Source organism: Homo sapiens, chromosome 1 (assembly GCF_000001405.40).
Source record: "Homo sapiens chromosome 1, GRCh38.p14 Primary Assembly".
NCBI classification, from domain to species: domain Eukaryota; kingdom Metazoa; phylum Chordata; class Mammalia; order Primates; family Hominidae; genus Homo; species Homo sapiens.
The window spans coordinates 201,609,800-201,629,579 of NC_000001.11; the positions used below are offsets into that span (position 1 = coordinate 201,609,800).

Below are 19,780 nucleotides of genomic sequence, written 5' to 3' on the forward strand. Positions count from 1 at the left end.
TAGGGAAGCCAGACTTCTTGTAACTCTGGCCTGGAGGAAAGTGTATATATATAGAGAGAGAGAGGGAGGAGGGAGAGAGGGAAACCTGGATGGAACAGGGATTGTCTTCAGGGCACTTCCCCAATGACCTAGATATTTATACCCTTGTGGCTTAGAACTCTAAGCTCTGATTTGCATTGCAGGGGAGCATGCCAATTGTTGGGGTGTTTGGAACTGAGGCCTATGTAGCAGGAGGTATCCTGGAACAGAAGAAGGAGCAGAGAGAAGGGAGGGCACCTTCTCTGCTCTACTCAGGGTGAAGGAAGCTGTGTGCCGGCTGCACCTGCTTCCCATGCCAGCTCAACTTCCTGGGAAGTATTTATAACTGAGGCCTCCAGCCCCCTGTGATTTGTGGGACAGTTTTAAACCATTGATTTTCATTAGCACTAAATCATTTCTCTTGGCTAATTGAAAAGGAACTGGGGATACTGAAAGTGGAGTCATTCACGTGGACCAAATCAGCGAAAGATGTCAATATGCTGAAACAGCACAAGTCTTCAGTTGGACGGCTCTGAGTTCCCTCCCTGAAGCTCAAAATTCACTTCTCTCTCAGAGGTCAGAGGTTGTGAGAAACAAGCCCCTAGAATGGAGAACCAGGAAGTGAACTTGGATTCTTAGCAGGAGGGATGGAGGTTAGACACTTGGAAGAACTTCCAGCCTAGGGTGATAGGATGAGAGATTCTGAGGGAGGTGTTGGAGGAATGCAGTGAACATCTCCTCTGCAGAGGTGTGTTTGAGATCTCCATGTCCTGCCTCTGTCCGCAGGCACAGGTGCAGGACGCCCTGTCTGGGGAAGAGCATTTGTCCTTCTCTAGACACAGGCTGGGGTGGTGGAGTTGCTCTGGGAATGCCAAGTCTGGGAAGTATGGTGTTCAGAAGCCTCTCCTGGGGAATGGCTGGGCTAGGCTTGGAGTAAGAGGTGAAATCTTTGCTATTGCTTGATCACTTAACTATAAATAACAGGAAGCTTAACGATCTGATCTTACCTGAAAGTAACACAGCCAGCCCCATCTTTTGTCTGTAAGAACACATTGCCATCTGGCCAGAAAGGAGGCCATGCCACAGTCTAAGGATAAGGACACTTCTGGAGGTGTTGGCAGAGCCCTGGGCCCTGGGGGTGGCGAAGGGGAGGGGAATGATGAGTCCCACAGCTTGTGGACAATCCTAATCCCCATTCAGAGCCAGGAGCCAGCCAGGCCGGCGCTGGGGATACTGAGCCCCACCCCCTCTGCTAACAAGTCCCAGCCAGTAGACCTCAGCTTCCCCTGCTTCCTGCCAAGGCTCTGCCCACTCTGCCCATGCCCACTCTGATGGGGCACCACCACTGGCTGCCCATCCTTGTCTTTCTCTTGACACAGACTGGGGTGATTGCATTCTCTGCCAAGGACCAGGCCCAGCTGAATGGCCCCCAGCTGGTTTGCTGAAGCCTGAAGCCAGGGTCTACAGGCAAGAGCTTGGGGAAGGAGGATGGGCTCAAATCCTTTTACTATGCGCTCCCCACCACGACATCTCAGCTCTTCCTCCATTTCTGTCCTGAGAGGTTGGCAGAGATTAGAGGCTGGACAAGAAGGATAAACATTTAGTAAATGACTATTGCAGTCCTGTCCCCAGCCCTGGGACCTCCTCGCAATGCCCAGTCTGGAAACACTGCGGCCTTATGCGGAGAGGGGGCTGTGTGGTGTGGGGGAAGATAACTGGAGTGGGGGAGTCACCCCAGGCTCTCCTGTTGCTCAGTGGTGTGACTTGGGACAAGTTACTTCCTCTCAAGCATAGGAATATTGTGATTTGCCTTTATACCCTCACCCTTAGCTCCATGTGTGAGCTGAACAAGGTCTGTAAACCACAAATATTGGAAGTTGTGTGCCCAAGGTACGGGTGTTGGGGCTCATTTTTCCAGGGAAGCCTGTGAGCACACTGCTGGAGGCCTGGAGCCTCTGAGATGAGCGAGGATCGGAGGACACAGAGCACCTCCTCACCCTGGGCTGGGTGGGAAATGGGCCAAAGGCGAGGGACAGCAAGGGACAGGGAGGACAGGTGGGAAAGGAAGCTGGAGATGTGTGTGTTTGTGTGTTTAAGAATAAGCATGAGTGTGAGTTGCATGTATGATGTGTGCGGTGCGAGTGTGTATGTGTCAGTGTGTGAGCACGTACCTGTGTGTCTCTGTGTGAATGTGTATATCTGTGTGTATCAGTGTGTATATGTATTTGTAGGTTGTGTGTGCATATGTCTATCTCTGTGTGTCAGAATGTGTGTGTGTGTGAGTGTGTGTGTCTTAGTCCATTCAGGTTGCTATAACAAAATACTTTAGACTGGGCAATTTGTAAACAACAGGCCAGGCATGGTGGCTCATGCCTATAATGCCCAGCACTTTGGGAGGCTGAGGCAGGAGGATTGCTTGAGTCCAGATGGAGACCAGCCTGGTCAATATAGTGAGAACCTCGTCTCTACAAAAAATTAAAAAACAAAATTATCAGGCATGGTGGCATGTGCCTGTGGTGCCAGCTACTCGGCAGGCTGAAGTGGGAGGATTGCTTGAGCCCAGGAGGCTGAGGATGCAGTGAGCAGTGATAACGCCACTGCACTCCAGCCTGGGTGACAGAGCTGCGACTCTGTCTCTAAAAATATAAGAATTAAAATGAAACGTCAGAAATTTATTGCTCACGGTTCTGGAGGATGGAAGTCCAAGATCAAGGTGCCAGCAGATTTGGTGTCTGGTGAAGGCCTGTTCCCCATAGATGGTGACATCTGTGTGTCCTCACGTGGTGGAAGAAAGGGGCAAACAGGTTCCTTCAAGTCTCTTTTATGAAGGGACTTAACCCATTCACAAAGGTGTAGCCCTCATGACCTAATCTCCTCCCAAAGGCCCACCTCTTAATACTATTGCATTGGAGAAGTTTTCAACATAGAAATTTTGGAGAGGACACAAGCACTCGGAGCATGGCAGTGTGTATCTTGTGTCTTGATGTGTGAGTGTGCTTGTGTGGGAGGGTGTGAGTGAGTGTGTGTATGTCTGTGTGTGTGTGTGTCACTATGTGTGTATGGTGTTGGTCTGAGGGGTGCAGCAGTACGAGTCATATCTTCAGAGTGGCACCAAGGGACACACTTCTCTCTTGCCTGAGGTGAAGCCCAAGTTGAGATTTGGCCCTGGGAGGAACTAACCAGGATTTCCAGGGCGGAGGGAGGGTACGTGTCAGATGTTGTAAGAAAGCTTGGAAAGAGACCTGTGTGGGGTCCAGGGATTCTGTCCGTGGCCTCTGGACTCATGCAGGTCATTCTGTCCATTTCCTGTCTCTGAACAGGTTGCATCTAAGTCATCTTCATGTACTCAGGAGTGCCTCAATTCAGAAGGACCTCTATGAAAAGAGATCTCCCCATCTTTCTTACTAACCCATGCCACAGTCTTAAATGTATTTATTTTGGAAACTTGGCCTGCTGTGTAATTTGGTTACCCTCTCCCCGCCTCCCCCCCGCCACCAACCCCATATAAATGGACTGTCCTATTTGTACTCAAATAAGAAAACATAAATTTACGTTAAAGGTGAAACATTCTGGTGACAATGTTTCTGCTATTCTGACTGAAATGGCTGACAAAATTTACTAATTGGAAATTTGGGGCAGAACAGAGAAGGGAGATACAAACTGTGCTAATGACTTGACTTAATGATAACTAGCTAGTATTCAGTGTTTATTATGGACCAGGAACTGTCTTCCATGATTTTCCTCTCATAATTCACTTAGTCTTGGCTAGGTGTGGTGGCTCATGCCTGTAATCCCAGCACTTTGGGAGGCTGAGGCAGGCAGATCACCTGAGGTCAGGAGTTCGAGACCAGCCTGGCCAACATGGAGAAACCCCATCTCTAATAAAAATACAAAATTAGCCAGGCATGGTGGCACACGCCTGTAATCCTGGCTACATGGGAGGCTGAGGCAAGAGACTCGCTTGAACCTGGGAGGCAGAGGTTGCAGTGAGCCAAGATCACGCCACTGCACTCCAGCCTGGGTGACAGCGCAAGGCTCAATAATAATAATAATAAATACTTCACTTAGTCTTTATAGCAACACTTTAAGGTAGATATTGTTATCATCCCTATTTCAAAGATGAGGAAATAGGCCAAGGAGGTTAAGTAATTTGCTCAGGACCACAAAGCAGGAAGCAGCAATACCCAGATTTGTACAACGGTCTGAGGGGACTGGGTGGGGGTTGGGAAGATGGGGCTGGGGGCGAGTGGGGAGAGGGGGTGGTTCTGGCTCCAGGACCTCTGTTTTTAGCCAACACTCTGTGCTGTGCAGTGTCCGTATCTCAGTGCGTGAGTTCAGAGATACTCCAGCCCTTTACTGTAAATATTTTCCTTGTCCTCTTTCTTTCTTTTTTTGGCATATCCAACCCCTAGATGCTCTGGTTAAAATGTTCTGACCTTTTCGAAATGGGTATATTCAGTGCATTCCCAAACGCAATCGCGGCCCCTTTAACAGGGCCACTGCAGGAGGAGCTGTCCTATCAGCACCACGGCCGCCGCCCAGTGTGCCCCCAACCCCGGCAGCTGCTGCGGGCGCCTCAAGGGCAGGAAGGGCGGTGGAGAGCGGGGCCAGGAACTTGCGACTGGCCAGTTCTCCAGACCGGGGAGAGAGGGACCGCCGCCGAATACTGGTGCTCGCCTTCCTTTCCCCTCGCCCCCATCCTGGGAGATCAGAGGGAGCTGGTGCTTAGGCTCTCACCACCCTCTGAGTCAGAATGAAATATTTATAGGCCCAAAACACTTCCTTGCTCTGGGGTTTGCAGAGCTTTAATGGCCAGGTAGCCTCCATTTGTCCTGATGGGGCGGGGCCTGGCGCTGGAATGAGGCTGAAAGGCTGGAAGATTGGGGTGGAAAGGAGTTAGGGCTGAGGCCTGGATTTAGGCTGTGAAGTAAGAAGCACAATGTCTGGAGCTAGACTGTTTGGATCTAATCTTGACTCTGCCATTTACTAGCTGTGTGATCGTGAGAAAGTTCCTTAGCCTCTCTGTGCTTCAGCGTCCTTGCCTCTGAAGTGGGAATGATAATAATAGCACCAACTTATAGAACAATTACAAGTTAATATAGGCAAAGCACTTAGAACAGTGTCTGACAGGCAGTCAGCAAATGCAACTAAAAAGTGTTTGATTTAAAAATAAAGTACCAGGGTGAGACTTAGACAGCAGACAGCTGTGGGATGTAGACTGGAAAGGGAGGAGAGAGAAAAGTGTGTTGGATGTGGCTGATACATCATGTTCAGGGGCAGGGACTGTTCCACTTTGCCTGGGAAGCCACCAGCCTCTCAACTCACCTGCCATCCACCAGACTGTCCCATTCTGTGTCTGAATTTGGCAACTTCCCTTTGGGAGGACGGAGGAGGTATGGCTGTTCTCCTTAACATAATTTCTGCCATTTCTTTCTTTCTTTCTTTCTTTCTTTTTTTTTTTGTTTGAGATGGAGTCTCACTCTGTCACCCAGGCTGGAGTGCAGTAGCGCGATCTCAGCTCACTGCAACCTCTGCCACCTGGGTTCAGGCGATTCTCCTGCTTCAGCCTCCCGAATAGCTGGGATTTCAGGCACCTGCCACCGCACCTGGCTAATTTTTGTAATTTTAGTAGAGATGGGGTTTCACCATCTTGGCTAGGCTGGTTTTGAACCCCTGACCTCGTGATCCACCCACCTTGACCTCCCAAAATGCTGGGATTACAGGCATGAGCCACCATTCTTGGCCAATTTCTGCCATTTCTTGAGCACTTCCTATGTGCCAGTCACCAAGCTAGGTGCCTTATCTTTACTCTTTCATTGCTTCTTTATAAAACCCTATGACTACTTATTGCAGATGCGGACTCTGGGCTCAGAAAACTTAACTTTTCTAAAGCCACATAGCAGGAAGTAGCAGAGCTAGGATTTGAACCCAGATCTTCCAGATTCAAAAGCCTTTACTCTTTCCATGACACATTTTTCGAGCTGTCTAGTTTCCTACCCTTTCCACTGTGAGCATTTGGGTGTTATTGTGTGAAGCATGGACAATGTTGTTCCTGTTGATGCTTCAGGTTTCTGATCCAGACCTGGCAGGTGTTCTTATCCTCTTCTGCTCTGCTGGAAGCTCAGGAGAATGAGGCAGCTCAGCCTCTATCCCTGGGTACGTGGGATGGAGGGACACTTGAAAAAGAAGGTTTTTTTTTTGTCTCTGTGATCATAATAAATAACAGAAATACTTGTTGGTCCTTACTATGTGCCAGACACTGTTCTAAGCACTTTCTGTTCATTAACTAACTTACTCTTCACAGCAATCCTATGAGTAGATCCTGTCTCAATCTCATTTTACAGAGGAGAGAACTCAGAGGTTCCGCAATTTGCCTTAGGTCACACCACCAGCAAATGACAGAGCCACGCTTTGGACCCAGGCATTCTGGCTCCAGAGTATATTCTTTAACCACTGTACCACAGAATCTCTTTAAAGAGCAGGAGTCTGTATTGGGGCACTGACGGATAGACCCAGGGGCATGAGGAGTTCTACCATCAAATCCACTACTTCCCAGACCTCAAACCACCAACTACCAACCTGACTGCTCTTCCTAAAAGCCTCCCCAGATCCTGCCTCACTGACAGATCATGACAACTAAATCCCCATGGTACTCTGTTTTGTCTCTCTCTCTCTTTTTTTTTTCTTGAGATGAAGTTTCACTGTTGTTGCCCAGGCTGGAGTGCAATAGCGCAATCTCGGCTCACTGCAACCTCCGCCTCCCAGGTTCAAGCGATTCTCCTGCCTCAGCCTCCTGAGTAGCTGGGATTACAGGCATGCGCCACCACGCCCAGCTAATTTTGTATTTTCAGTAGAGATGGGGTTTCTCCATGTTGGTCAGGCTGGTCTCGAACTCCTGACCTCAGATGATCCACCTGCCTCGGCCTCCCAAAGTGCTGGGATTATAGGCATAAGCCACCATGCCCGGCCTGTTTTGTCTCTCTTGATGCATGCACTGCCTGCACATGTTACTTGTCACGAGTGTGCATGTGTTTCTTCCCCACCAGATTGCTAGCTCCTAGAGAGCAGAACCTGGGTCTCAGCCATTGCAATTGCCACAGCACCTGGTACATGGAAGGTGCCCAGCCAAGGTGTGTGGTTGTTGAACAAAGGGATCCTGCCATGAATCCCTTTGTAAGTGCAATGTTCTTTTGAAACAGAGAGTACTAACTCCCTAGTGTAATTTATTGAGGACTGGGATCCCCAGGATGAGGGAACTAAAGAGCACTGAGGCCCTCCTCTTATTCACTGAGGTTAAGTGAAATTTCAGATCAGGGTACTTAGAAGGAGAAAGAACAAAGAGAGCATGTTTGGAGGTGGAGGATCTGATAAGATTCCCCAATCTCTCTGTCTCTCTCTCTCTCTCTCTCTCTCTCTCTCTCTCTGTCTGTCACACACACACACACATAAACACACACACACACTCCCATAAGAAAGAAACACTCTCCTTGCTTGCACCTCCAGCTCTACCCCTAAACTTCTGCCCTTGAGACTCCCCAGACACATTGCAAAGTTATCACAAAGGATGATTGATGCTGACAGGCAAGCTCTTTGGCTTGAACAGACCCTTGTTTAAGACGCATAAGCTGGGCACGGGAGCTCATGCCTATAATCCCAGCATTCTGGGAGGCCAAAGAGGCAGGAGGATTGCTCGAGCTCAGGAGTTTGAGACCAGCCAGGGAAACATAGCAAGACCTCATTTCTACTAAAAATAAAAAAATTAGCCCAGTGTGGTGGTGTGTGTCCTTATAGTTTCAGCTAGTCAAGAGGCTGAGGTGGGAGGATCACTTAAGCCTGGGAGATTGAGTCTGCAGTGAGCTATTATTGCACCACTGCTCTCCAGCCTGGGCCCTGTCTCAAGAACAAATAAAATGAAAGAGACGTAGATTGTCCTGCTTCTCAGACACATTTTTGTCTAACACTGAGATCCAGGAGATGAGGGCCATTGTAGCTAACATTATGCATCTCAAGACAGCAAACATTTTCCTGACATTATTTTATTCAATCTGCTCAGACAGAATATGAGGCAGTAGAGAGTGAGATGGGGCAGAAAAAGTTCCCCTCATTTCAGAGGAAGGGAAACAGAGCCTCAGAGCAAGCATGATGTCTCCCAAATCATTTGGTCCATTAAGAATGTAAACTGGGTGCTTGTAGTCAGCAGGCATGTCTAGGCCCCAGGAGAGAAGACCTGTGCAAGAGGCCTTACCTTTCAGCTTTGGAGGCATCATCATCCATGGGCCTCAGCCCAAATCCTACTTCCCATGTGTATTCTCTCCCCTTTCTTCCCCAGCCACCCCACCCCTGCTGCCAGAGACCTGAAATTCCAGTCTTCCTCCTCAATCCCCACCCCAACCCAGGTGTGCCACTTGCCACCAACTAGGCATATTAAACCTGCACCCGGGCTGGATGAGGCCTATCTTTTCCCCCTCCCATGCATGTTGCCTACAGTGTCACATGGGCAATGCCCCTGTACCATGCTGACCTACAGTACCACCGAAGGCAAACAGCGTATGAGGTGGTTGGGGAAAACTAGCTAGATCTCCAGCATGTTGGGAGAATAAGAGAAGGAAAAGAGCCCTCCCCAAGAGCTGCCTATGACTGATCTTCTCTTCTGGTTTCCACCCTGTAAATTGGATCCCCACTCCCCACCCCCAACTCTATCTCTGGAAGGCCCCATGCTCCAATCAGAGCAAGGTCAGAGTTGATCATGGAGGTTGGGGGTGTGTAGGCAGAGCCCGGATATGCTCTCGGCGGGTGTGGCCAAGGGGATCCACCCTTGAGCCTCAGAGTCCTGTCCATCTGCATTTGAGTCACACCACTCTGCCACTTTTTAGCTGTGTGTGTCCTGGGGCAGCTCACTTAACCTTCTCCACCTCATTTTCTTTACCTGTGAAAGGGGTACTAAAACTTACTTTGTAAGGTTGTTGTTAAGAACTAGAAACAATGTCTCAATACAAGGGACTGTTACTCTGTCTAGGGCAGAAGCATCTGCCAGGTGTCCTTAAAGATGCTGAATACCTGTGGGTTCTCACTCCGAAGGCAAACCAGGAAAACTTCATGACCCCTTTCTCACCCAGGCTAAAATAACTCACTGTTTGGGGAGCCCTCCTCCACCACCCAAAGATGGTCTGATCCTCCCAGGCTCCCACCTGGGGGCAATCCTGTGTGCATCCTCCTCCCAGTCTAGATGAGGGCTATCAAGTTGCGGAAGGAGGAGAGAGCAGGGCCCCCACTGCAGTGGAGAGGGAGGGGTAGGGTTCTTGTGACCTACCATGGGAATGTTTTAAATCCTCCTCCCATCGAGCTTTTGAAAAAATCATGATCCAGGAAAAACAGCAACTGCGTCTGCTCCATTAGCAAGCGAGGGAGACGCAGCCTCCTCAGCCTTAGGGCTCTTTTAGCTGGAAATTCAGCCAGCCCTAGCCATAGGGACTGGGGGAAGTCTGAGTCAAGGGGCTGGGAGCCCAGGGATGCATGGAGGACAATGTAGGTGAGTTGGGCTCTTGGTTGGGGGTGGTTGTTGGGCAACACAACCTGAGTTGGGGAGGAACTCCCAGGAGAGATGAAGGTAGAGTCAAGATTTAGTTCTGGATTATCTCACCAATATAGCTCCCAGAAGGGATGGTCTAGGGTGCATAATTGGCTTTGGTCCTCATTTTGCAGACTGGACATGGAGAGGTTGAATAATTTACCCAGATTCTCACAGCTGCAGGTAGTACCTGCTTACACTTTCCGAGTTTCCTTTATGAAAGTCCTTTTCTGTCCCTTCTGTGGGGTTGTCCTTGGCATGCTGGGGCTGGGAGCTGGATAGGCTTCATGGGAGACTGTGGGCAAGTAGAGGATGACTCACAGGGTCTCCCAGTCTGTGTCCTGGTGGGTGGGCAGGGAATGGCATGAGCTAGATGAGGAAGAGGCAGGAGGCAGGCAAGCCCTGGGTGTGGCCCTCCAGGCCTAGACCATGGGCAGCCACTGGAGAAGCAGAGGCAAGCTGGTGATAATTCCCTGGGCACACATGGCTTTGCTGCCCTTCTTCTGCTGGGTAGGATGGGGGTTGCTTTAGCTAATCAAATAACGGTATCAAGTCATTAAAGTACAAATTAGAGAAAAGGATGAGGGGGTCATAGCAATTCCCTTGTAGAATAATTTCTTGTGGAAATTATTTCATTTATTGCAGAGCAATCCAATAAGCCCTGGCTCTCATGGTCACTTCAGACTGGAGTTTTAAAAATCCATTAATGCTTAAGGGTCTACATTGACTTCTTATAGCTTAGGCTGTAACTGGTCCCAGACCACAGAGTCAAAGGTCAGGGAAAGGTCAGCAACAGCCATAAACAATTCCTGTGGTTGCTTACAGCTTTCTCCACAATATGGAAGGGGGGATCCCAGGGATCTCAAGAGAACCGGCCATGCTTTGGTGGTCTTTTCTGTCCATAATGTCCTTTGTCTTCATCTTCATCCAATGCCAATTCACCCTTTGAGAATCAAACTGAGTATTTTCATTGTACATAAATCTTTGCTCCCATCTGTAATCATTTTCCTAGCATACATTTTTAGATTTGGCATTGTTCCCACAGCAGTGTATGGGAGACATATACTCTTTTTTTTTTTTTTTTTTTTTTTGAGACAGAGTCTCGCTCTCTCGTTCAGGCTGGAGTGCAGTGGCGCAATCTCGGTGCACTGCAATCTCTGCCTCCCAGGTTCAAGCAATTCTCCTGCCTCAGCTTTTTGAGTAGCTGGGACTACAGGCATGTGCCACCACGCCCAGCTATTTAGTGTGTGTGTGTGTAATTTTAGCAGAGATGAGGTTTTGCCATGTTGGTCAGGCTGGTCTCAAACTCCTGACCTCAGTTGATCCGCCTGCCTCAGTCTCCCAAAGTGCTGGGATTACAGGTGTGAGCCACCGCACCCAGCCTCATGGCCATATACTCTTACCAACACTGGATATTTTAATTTTCTGCGATATAGTACATTTGATAGCAACAAATGATAACTTATTTAATTTGCATCTCTTCAATTTCTAATAAAGTCTTTGGTTTTTGTTTTGTTTTGGCCAGTTGTATTTATTCTTTTGCAGTTTTCTTGTTCACAGGGTCTCACTCTGTCACCTAGGCTAGAGTACAGTGGCATGAGCTCAGCTCACTGCAACTTCCACCTCCCAGGCTCAAGCGATCCTCCTGCCTCAGCCTCCCAAGTAGTGGGACTACAGGCACACACTACCATGCCCGGCTAATTTTGTTTTTGTTTATTTTTATGTTTTGTAGAGATGTTGCCCAGGCTGGTGTCAAACTCCTGGACTCAAGGGATCCTCCCCGCTCGGCCTCCCAAAGTGCTAGGATTACTGGTGTGAGCCACTGTGCCCCACCTGCCCTTTATTCTATGGGATGTTTGCTTTCAAATATTGATTTGGTAGAGCTCCCTATATGTAAAGGTGTTAATTCCTTGTTTTTCATACTTGTTGCAAGTTTTCTTTTCTTTCTTTTTTTTTTTTTTTTTTTTGAGACAGTTTTGCTCTTGTCACCCAGGCTGGAGTGCAGTGGTGCAATCTCAGCTCACTGCAACCTCCACCTCCCAGGTTCAAGTGATTCTCCTGCTTCAGCCTCCCAAGTAGCTGGGATTACAGGCGTGCCACCACGCCTGGCTAATTTTTGTATTTTTAGTAGAGACGGGGTTTCATCATGTTGGCCAGGCTGGTCTCAATCTCCTGACTTCAGGTGATCCACCTGCCTCAGCCTCCCAAAGTGCAGGGATTACAGGCGTGAGCCACTGCGCCCAGTCTGTTGCAAGTATTTTTATAGTTTATTGATGTGTCAAACCTTTTGAAAAGGTTTTTTGCCCATATAAAGATTTTAATTTTTATGCATTCACATCTATCAGTGTTTTAGTTTATGATTTCTGCCTTTGATGTGGTACTTAGAAAGGCCTCTCCCACAACAAAATTATGGAAACGTTCATGCATGTGTTCTGAACATTTTTTATGGCTTCATTTTTTAACCTTTAACTCTTTAATCTATCTGGAATTGATTGTATGTATCTTTGTAAACTGCTTTAAATTCCCTTTGAAATGGAAGTGATTAATTCATTAATTAACATGGCAAGGAGGGGAAGCTGGTGAAGGGGGAAGGGTTGAAGATACAAGAGAGAAGGGGATAATTAATGAGTCAAGGTCTGGAAGAGACAAGATCAAGTGCTGTTGACAGGGCCTGCACAAGGAACTGCCTTGAACCAAAGGTGGGACACTCAGTCTCTTTTAGACGAGGGTGGCAGGAGGTGGCAGAGGTCAGTTTTGTCATGGGGGGAGGTGGGTAGGGAATGGGCTGGAGAGGAAGACTGTGAGCCAAGTGACAAATGCCCAGTGACTATGGGGGTGGGGACAGCAGGGAGGGCCCAGGGAATGGCAGGAGCCTCAAGGGGCAGCATTTGCCAATTTACAAGTTTATGATCTGGGGGGACTGTGATTGGCCCTCCCACCCTTGGGCCCCAGCAGCATGTGGAAGAAGGTTGCACTGCACTGGAGAGTGTCCTATGAAGAGAGCCAGGGGTCAGCTGCAGTGATGAGAGGAAGGAACATGCAGGGCAGAGGCCGAGAGCATGAGGAAACTTGTTTAGTGTGGAGGACATTCTAGACTCGGGGTACTAGGAAAGGCCTGAGGGGGAGGAGCTGTGAGAAGGAGAGTCTGTCCCCAATCAGTGAACAGGAACAGAGTCAAAGAAAGTTAAATGAAGCCCATTTGTACAGCACATTGCAATTCACAAAGCACTTTCCCATATGTGCTTGCAGATGAGCCTCATAACAGCTTTTCAGAGCAGAGAGGGAAAGGGATTTGCCCAGAGTCCAGCGGGTAGCCAGTGACCCAGTCACAATGCGAACCAGGAGTGCCAGTGCCCAGTCTGGGTGCTCGAGCCTCCCCACAGACCCCAACATCCTCTTTCTACACTCAAGGATGGAAGCTTGTGGGGATGTGCCTGACGGTCTTTTTTTGCCCTCTCTCCCTGCAGGACAGTAGCCCACACTTCCAGCCTTGCAGACCATGAATGGGATGGCCAATGTGAATCCCGCCAGCCGCCCTCACTACGCCTCCGCCATCCCGGTGCCTCGTGCCTCTTCCCAGACCAGGATTCCTACACCGGGCGCTTCTCCCCAGCTGCGGCCACGCCAGGCCGGCCTGGCCCTGAGCCCACAGAGAGCAGCCTCCCCCAGACTGGGAAAGGCTGCAGGTCCTTCTAGAAACTCCTCTCCTAGGGCCTTCCGGGGGAGAGGCTCTCCCAAGTTTGCTGGGGCGGTGAGGGAGTCAGCTGAGGATGGGGAAGGCCCCTTCAGCTCCCCATGGAATAGTCCCAGGACAACCCCGAAAGCAGCCCTCTCCAGCCGGGCTGGATCCGGAAGAATTGGCGAGAGACAAGGCACCCAGGGAAAGAAGAAAAAAGCCCAGGAAGGGACTCCAGTCTGCCAGACCCGGGGCAGAAGCCCTTCTCGGACGAGCTTTCACGGAGAAACTCAAATACCAGGGGCTCCGGAAGGTCGGAAGCCTCCAAGCTGCCCAGGAAAAGACCAAAGAGATATAAACTACAAAAGTTCTGGGACCCCCAGGTCTTTGGAGCCTGATGAGGGGGCAGCTTCGTGGGCTTCCTCTCCAGTCTGCAGCCCAGTGCAGGGCAAGCGCCCCTCTCCCTCTCCGGGGGCCATTAGCTTCTCCTCAGTCCATCAGCAGAGTCAGCCAGTCACAGCCACGGTGGCCCCCTTCCAGTACAGGTGAGCTGGGGAGCAGGCAGGGAGGGAAGGGGGAAGAGCCATGCTGGGACCAAGGGGCAAGCCGGAAGAGGACAGGGACCCTGGTGATCAGTGGCTGGTAAAGACCAGAGGGCCCCAGGCGATACAAAAAGAAGTTAGGTAGGTGGAGGCCTACAGAGTTGGGGGCTTGGAGAGCTGAGATGGGATTGGGACCATAAAAGGGGACGCTGACTGAAGCTCTGATCTTTCTCGACTGTGGGGAATCCACAACAAAAAGAGTCTCATAAGGAGGGTACCCCTAAAATGTCCATTTTTGCTCTCTGGAACAATATAAAGATTGGGATGTCGTGGAAGCTTAAGCAGCTAGATACATAGGCAGTGTCAGTCTCACCCAATTCATTGTGGGACATTTGCCAACATTGTGAGTTAGACCAACTCTATTGGCTTGGGCACTGCGCCTTTACTTAGTAAGTAAAATCTACACTGCTTGTTGCACTCATACCTTGTACCTGTCTGTCTGTCTCTCACTCGTTTGCTCACTCCATTTGCTATAGTGCCTTGTGCATATCTGCTTATGTGCCTGGCATATCAGGAATTAGTAATGCTTTAGACAGACAGGTGTTGACATCCTTGTTGGTGGAGGTGGCCAGTCCAGTATTCACAACAAGATGGCCAACAAGCTAGTACATCCAGCTTTTTTCAGACACTGCAAGTTGATTGCATAGAAAAACAAACGCTTAGTCAACTACGCTTTTTTTTTTTTTTTTTTTTTTTTTGAGATGGCATCTCACTCTATCGCCCAGGCTGGAGTACAGTGGTGCGATCTCGGCTCACTGCAACCTCCGCCTCCCAGGTTCACGCCATTCTCCTGCCTCAGCCTCCCAAGTAGCTGGGACTACAGGCGCCCACCACCACACCTGGCTAATTTTTTTTTGTATTTTTAGTAGAGACAGGGTTTCACTGTGTTAGCCAGCATGGTCTCGATCTCCTGACCTCGTGATCCGCCCACCTCAGCCTCCCAAAGTGCTGGGATTACAGGCGTGAGCCACCGCACCCAGCAAACTATGCTTTTTTTAAAAAATAAAAATATAATTATACTAAAAAGACTTCAGTAAGTACACTAAATTTTAATTACTAATTATTATATAGTTTAGAAATGCCCAAATGCAAATTAAGTATCTTCCTGACTAAACTAACTTCCTATATTTTTTCCCCTATGCTAATGGAAGGAGAAACTCTCACTTATATTTTGGGCATAGAAAAGCTTGTACATCATCCCTTACACACCAGGGACCTCTGAGGCATCAGAGCGGCTGGAGGTGGGGGTAGGGAACCACTAGGAGCTTTAACCTTCAGCAGAAGGCAACTTGTGTATCTTAATCTCTGAAAAATTGAATGCAATTTAATATTACAGGACTAGGCCTTTGGAGTTCAGGACAAGGAAGTGAATGGTCCCAATACACTCTGCACATGTTTAGGCTTCATTTAGACTGTTACATTCAGTTGTGAACACCACGTTTTAAAAGGACATCGACATACAAAAACACATGTAGAGCAAGACTGACACGTTGCTGGGGGATCAAAAAAGGTGTTATAGGATGATGAAAGGAACTGAAGAAGTTTGCTTTGGAAAGGAAGGCTTAGAGAGGGTCTGAGCACTGTTTTCAAATATTTGAAGGGCTGTCATGTTGTAAGATGAATTAGATTTACTTGGTGCAGCTCCAAAGACCTGACTCATCACCATGGTGGTTAGAAGTTAGTTCAAGACAGATTTGAGGCTCAAGAGCAAGAACTTTCCAAAAAGTAGAGAGGATTACAAATTGACCGGAAGGCAGTGAACTCCCTGTTATTGCAAGAATTCTGACTTCACAGCCAAAGGGAGGTCTTACCAGGGTGACCCCTGGCTCTCAAAGCATATCTTCTGCCTGACTGTACTGCCTGCAAAGTGCACTGATGCTTCTTTTCCTAAGGGGCAACTCACTTACGTCCCCTTGTGACTTTCTTTACTTCGATTCTGAAGCTGATGAGAGAACTCAAGAAGCAGAAATGCAGGGCAGGCCTTCCTTTGAATGGCCTTTTTCCAATTAGTAAAATGTTTCCCTGGTGACTCTTTGACTTTCTTCTCCTACCTGATTCCCTTCATTTTGAATTCATTCTTTGGGAAAAGTGTCTAGGCATTAAATTGTTTAAGATTTTACATTATCTACCTTACAAGTCCCTTGGTATATTCAGAACCTGACATTTTCCAAAGAGCTCAGAATTCTTCATTCAAATATTTTAATGCAGCTTAAACAGAACCATGTTTCCTTCATTCAGCAAACATTTATTGCATGTTTGCATTTTAAACAGAAATGGAAATGTGTCACACCACCCTACCTCCTAGACCCTGCCCCTTTCAGTCTCTGGATTAGGGTTGGAGAGAGGGTCATGGCACAAAGACCTGACTCATCACCATGGTGGTTAGAAGTTAGTTCAAGACAGATTTGAGGCTCAAGGGTGCGATTAGGACCAAGGACACTCCGAGATGCTGCACGCCAATGGGCAGGCACCCAGCACACTCTGCAGGGCCTAGAGCTGCTGCCATGGCAGCTCTGCCAAGGGCCAGGCTGGGCCACCCTTCAAAGCTTCATAGCCAAGGAGGTGCCATCTGCTTCCTAGAATCCACAGACATTGTGTTTTTGTGGAAATCTCTCCTCCCTCCCTGCCACCCGCCCCAGCACCTCAGCCTTCTGCAAAGCCCCAGTGGAATGCAGAAGCAGAGGTCACCTGCTTCCCTCCCCATCTCCAGCCTGGTCATGCCTGACCTGCTTCTCCAGGGAATGAATCTTGCAGCCATCTTCTCCCCTGCCCCATCCTCCACAGCCCTCTCTTTTCAAGGGCCTTGGTGTGGCCTTCCCAGTGAAGCTTGTCTCCTCTCATCCATCACTTCCCTTTGGACCCAGAGAAGGTGCAATCCCCTGTCCGCTCTCAGGAGACCCTGGTCTCACACATCTAATTCCATCACATCCTCAACCTCATCCCTCTCTGCTATCCTGGAAGAGAGCCACAGCAGCTTCACCACAGCCCTTGCTGACTTTTCCCAACTGCCAGTGCACCCTTTACCACCTCCCTAACCCCCAACAGTTCTCTTCTTCCTGCATTGGGTGGGCCTTGGGTTGGACTTCAATTGGAACTATGGTTAATGGTATCAGGAGCGTAGGGTTACTGGTGTCACTACTGCAATTTTCTTCTCTCTGGTTCAACCTCTGCCTGACTTCTGGCATACAGAGTGCTGTCCACTCAGGCTGAGAAGTGAGGGCGGACATGGAGGCCTGGCCATGTTTGGAGAGATGGAGGCAGATGTGGATAAAAATACAGAGCTGACTGAAATTAGAGATAAAGCCTGCCTTCCTCAATGTTTCTGCCATTGGAGTTTCTGGCCCATATGACTGATGTAACCTCACCCACTCTTGCATCATATTAATGGCAGCAACAATCGTGACTGTAACTATTTCTTTTTTTGTTTTTAGTCTTTAATTTATTTACTGGAGACAGATTCTTGCTTTGTTCCCCAGGCTGGGGTGCAGTGGCACAGTCATAGCTCACTGTAACCTCAAACTTTTGGGCTCAAACAATTCTCCTGCCTCGGCCTTCCAAAGCTCTGGGATTAACAGTTGTGAGCCACCACCCTGGCCTATTCCTATTTTTCTTTTTCTTTTTTTTTTTGAAATGGAGTCTCACTCTGTCGCCCAGGCTGGAGTGCAGTAGCACGATCTCGGCTCACTGCAACATCCACCTCCCTGGTTCAAGCGATCCTCCTGCCTCAGCCTCCCGAGTAGCTGAGATTACAGGCATGCACCACCAAGCCTGGCTAATTTTTGTATTTTTAGTAGAGGCGGGGTTTCGCCATGTTTGCCAGGCTGGTCTCAAACTCCTGACTTCAAGTGATCCATCCGCCCCGGCCCCCCCACCCTAAGTACTGGGATTATAGAAATGAGCCACTGCACCCGTCTGCCTATTCTTATTTTTAACACTGGTTATTGCATACCTGCTCTGGCCCAGACGCTGTGCTTAGCTCTTTACATATATGATGTTAATCAATGAAACAGTTGACACATTATATAGAATTCCCTCTCCCCAGTAGAATTTTCTGTTACTTTCTCACCAATATGTTGCATCCCCTACTTCAAAATCCCAGGTCCATTCTAATTTCTTCCAAGAAACCAACCAACCCCAGTCTTTCTTTATCCCCTTGGCACTTGTGTACTTGGACAGACATTTAATTGACAATAAGAGCCTGGTGCAGTGGCTCACACCTGTAATTCCAGCACTTTGAGAGGCTGAGGTGGGCAGATCTCGAGCTCAGGAGTTCGAGACCAGCCTGGGCGACATGGCAAAACCCCATCTCTACAAAAAATATGAAAATCAGCTAGGCGTGGTAGCTTGAGCCTGTAATCCCAGCTACTTGAGAGGCTGAGGTGGGAGGATCATTTAAGCTCAGGAAATCAAGGCTGTAGTGAGCCTTGATCATACCACTGTGCTCCAGCCTGAGTGACACAGTGAGACCCTGTGTCAAAAAAAAAAAAAAAAAAGAGAGACAGTAGTACATGGCGATTGTCCCCATCATACCAAGCACCCCCAGGGGCCAGGATGAGGCCTCCTGCTTTCTCTAACGACACCCCACCCTGCACTATCCCCATCATTCACCTGAGGGGCCTGAGATACAAAAGAGCTCAGCACTGCCTAAATAGCTTAGAAAAAGCTGAGCAGAAGCAGCAAACACCTCACAACCCTAGACTGTAAAACAGATCCCAGCCTTGAGGGGCATCTTTTCACCCCATGATGGAAGCCGGACCCAGAGAGGAGAAGAGATCTACTCCAGGTTATACAGTGAGTTAATGGCAAAATTGAGCCCAGAGTCCCGGCCATCTAGGCATTGAAAAAAGTGAAAACTGGAGAGAGAGAAAGACAAATCTCAGTGGCACTGGAGACTCTCAGGGTTCCATGGCCCAGCCCTTCAATTTCCCCTCCTGCCTGCACAGCCCTCCCCTCCCCCTCCTGCCAAGCTGCCAAAGTCTCCATTTAGCTGGAGACAGCGGGCGGATGGGTGGGCGGGCCAGCTCCCAGAGCCTAGGGTAATTGCCTATAATGAAAGCTCCCACAGCCTTTGTTCCTGGGAGCAACTGTACGGTTGAGGTTGTGCTCAGAGGTCTGTGTGCACTTGGGAGCTGGTGCCCAGAGACCTCACCCTTCCTTCCTGCTACCACAACGGGCCCAGCAAGAGACCTGTCCTCCCGGGAGTCACTGTGATTGCAGCTGAGCCTACTCCTCCTTCTTTCCTGACCTACAAGCTGCCTGGACTACGAGCAAGCCCAAAGCCTGTGTGCCCCCTGAGCTACCAGGAATCAGTGACTTCAGCTTCAGAGGGAGCTCTTCCCTGTGTATATGTACATGGCTGTACATACATGCTCATCCTGAGGGCAAGGATCCTGGCAAGACAAAGGACCCAAGGCCTGGAGTTGCTAGGGTATCCCTCTGCCCTATAAGTGATAACGTTCCTGGGAAATGGGTAGACTGTAGAATGTCAAGGGGTGACAAGCATCGGGCATCCCAGTATCCTCTGGGGCTCCCTGCCTGGCGCAGCTTTGCACAGAAGGCCTGCTGCCTGCTGGAGGGCAGGCATGTGCACATACCCATCAGGGAGGGGCTGGCCCTGAGTGGTGCAGGGCACTATCAGAGAAGAAGAACCAAGTTCTAAGAGGGTTTTCTTAGCCCCATGGAGGGGCTTAGAGACCAGGACATCTCTACCATGAGTGACTACCCTTTCTTGGTCCCACAGGTTGCAAACTGACCAGAAACCTGGCCCCCTCTCCCAGGGCAGCTGGCCCCTTGATGGCTATGCTGAGCCCCTCCATGAGACTGAGGAGAGCTTCTCCTGCATGGGTAAGTGATCTGGGGGAGACTTCCTCCTAGGGTCGGGAGGCCACTGTGCTAGAGCTGCCTAGATGGAAGAAG

The 19,780-nt window shown here is 49.2% G+C and overlaps 1 protein-coding gene and 1 long non-coding RNA gene across 4 annotated transcripts in view, besides 2 other annotated features; one reads left to right on the top strand and one right to left on the bottom strand.

Moving 5' to 3' along the window:
• Window positions 1-19,780, top strand: part of NAV1 (neuron navigator 1) — a 287,843-nt gene that overhangs the window by 70,673 nt on the left and 197,390 nt on the right. For all 3 annotated transcript variants that reach the window (NM_001389617.1, NM_001389615.1, NM_001389616.1), the window contains 2 exons: window positions 13,054-13,807; window positions 19,605-19,708. In NM_001389617.1, the coding sequence (NP_001376546.1) occupies window positions 13,086-13,807; window positions 19,605-19,708 (826 nt within the window). In that variant the 5' untranslated portion in view covers window positions 13,054-13,085. The remainder of the gene's footprint in view (window positions 1-13,053; window positions 13,808-19,604; window positions 19,709-19,780) is intronic.
• Window positions 1-19,780, bottom strand: part of LOC124904482 (uncharacterized) — a 48,139-nt gene that overhangs the window by 9,954 nt on the left and 18,405 nt on the right. The window lies entirely within an intron of this gene.
• Window positions 12,396-12,780: a silencer, noted in NCBI's record as "fragment chr1:201591323-201591707 (GRCh37/hg19 assembly coordinates)". NCBI's record gives its function as "represses an EF-1alpha promoter that drives an FKBP-Casp9 reporter gene in an ReSE screen in HepG2 liver carcinoma cells {active_cell/tissue: HepG2}" and the evidence as "EXISTENCE:reporter gene assay evidence [ECO:0000049][PMID:32094911]".
• Window positions 18,638-19,139: an enhancer, noted in NCBI's record as "H3K4me1 hESC enhancer chr1:201597565-201598066 (GRCh37/hg19 assembly coordinates)". NCBI's record gives its function as "activates a minimal SCP1, AML or CMV promoter by ChIP-STARR-seq in primed H9 embryonic stem cells {active_cell/tissue: H9 hESC(primed)}" and the evidence as "EXISTENCE:reporter gene assay evidence [ECO:0000049][PMID:30033119]".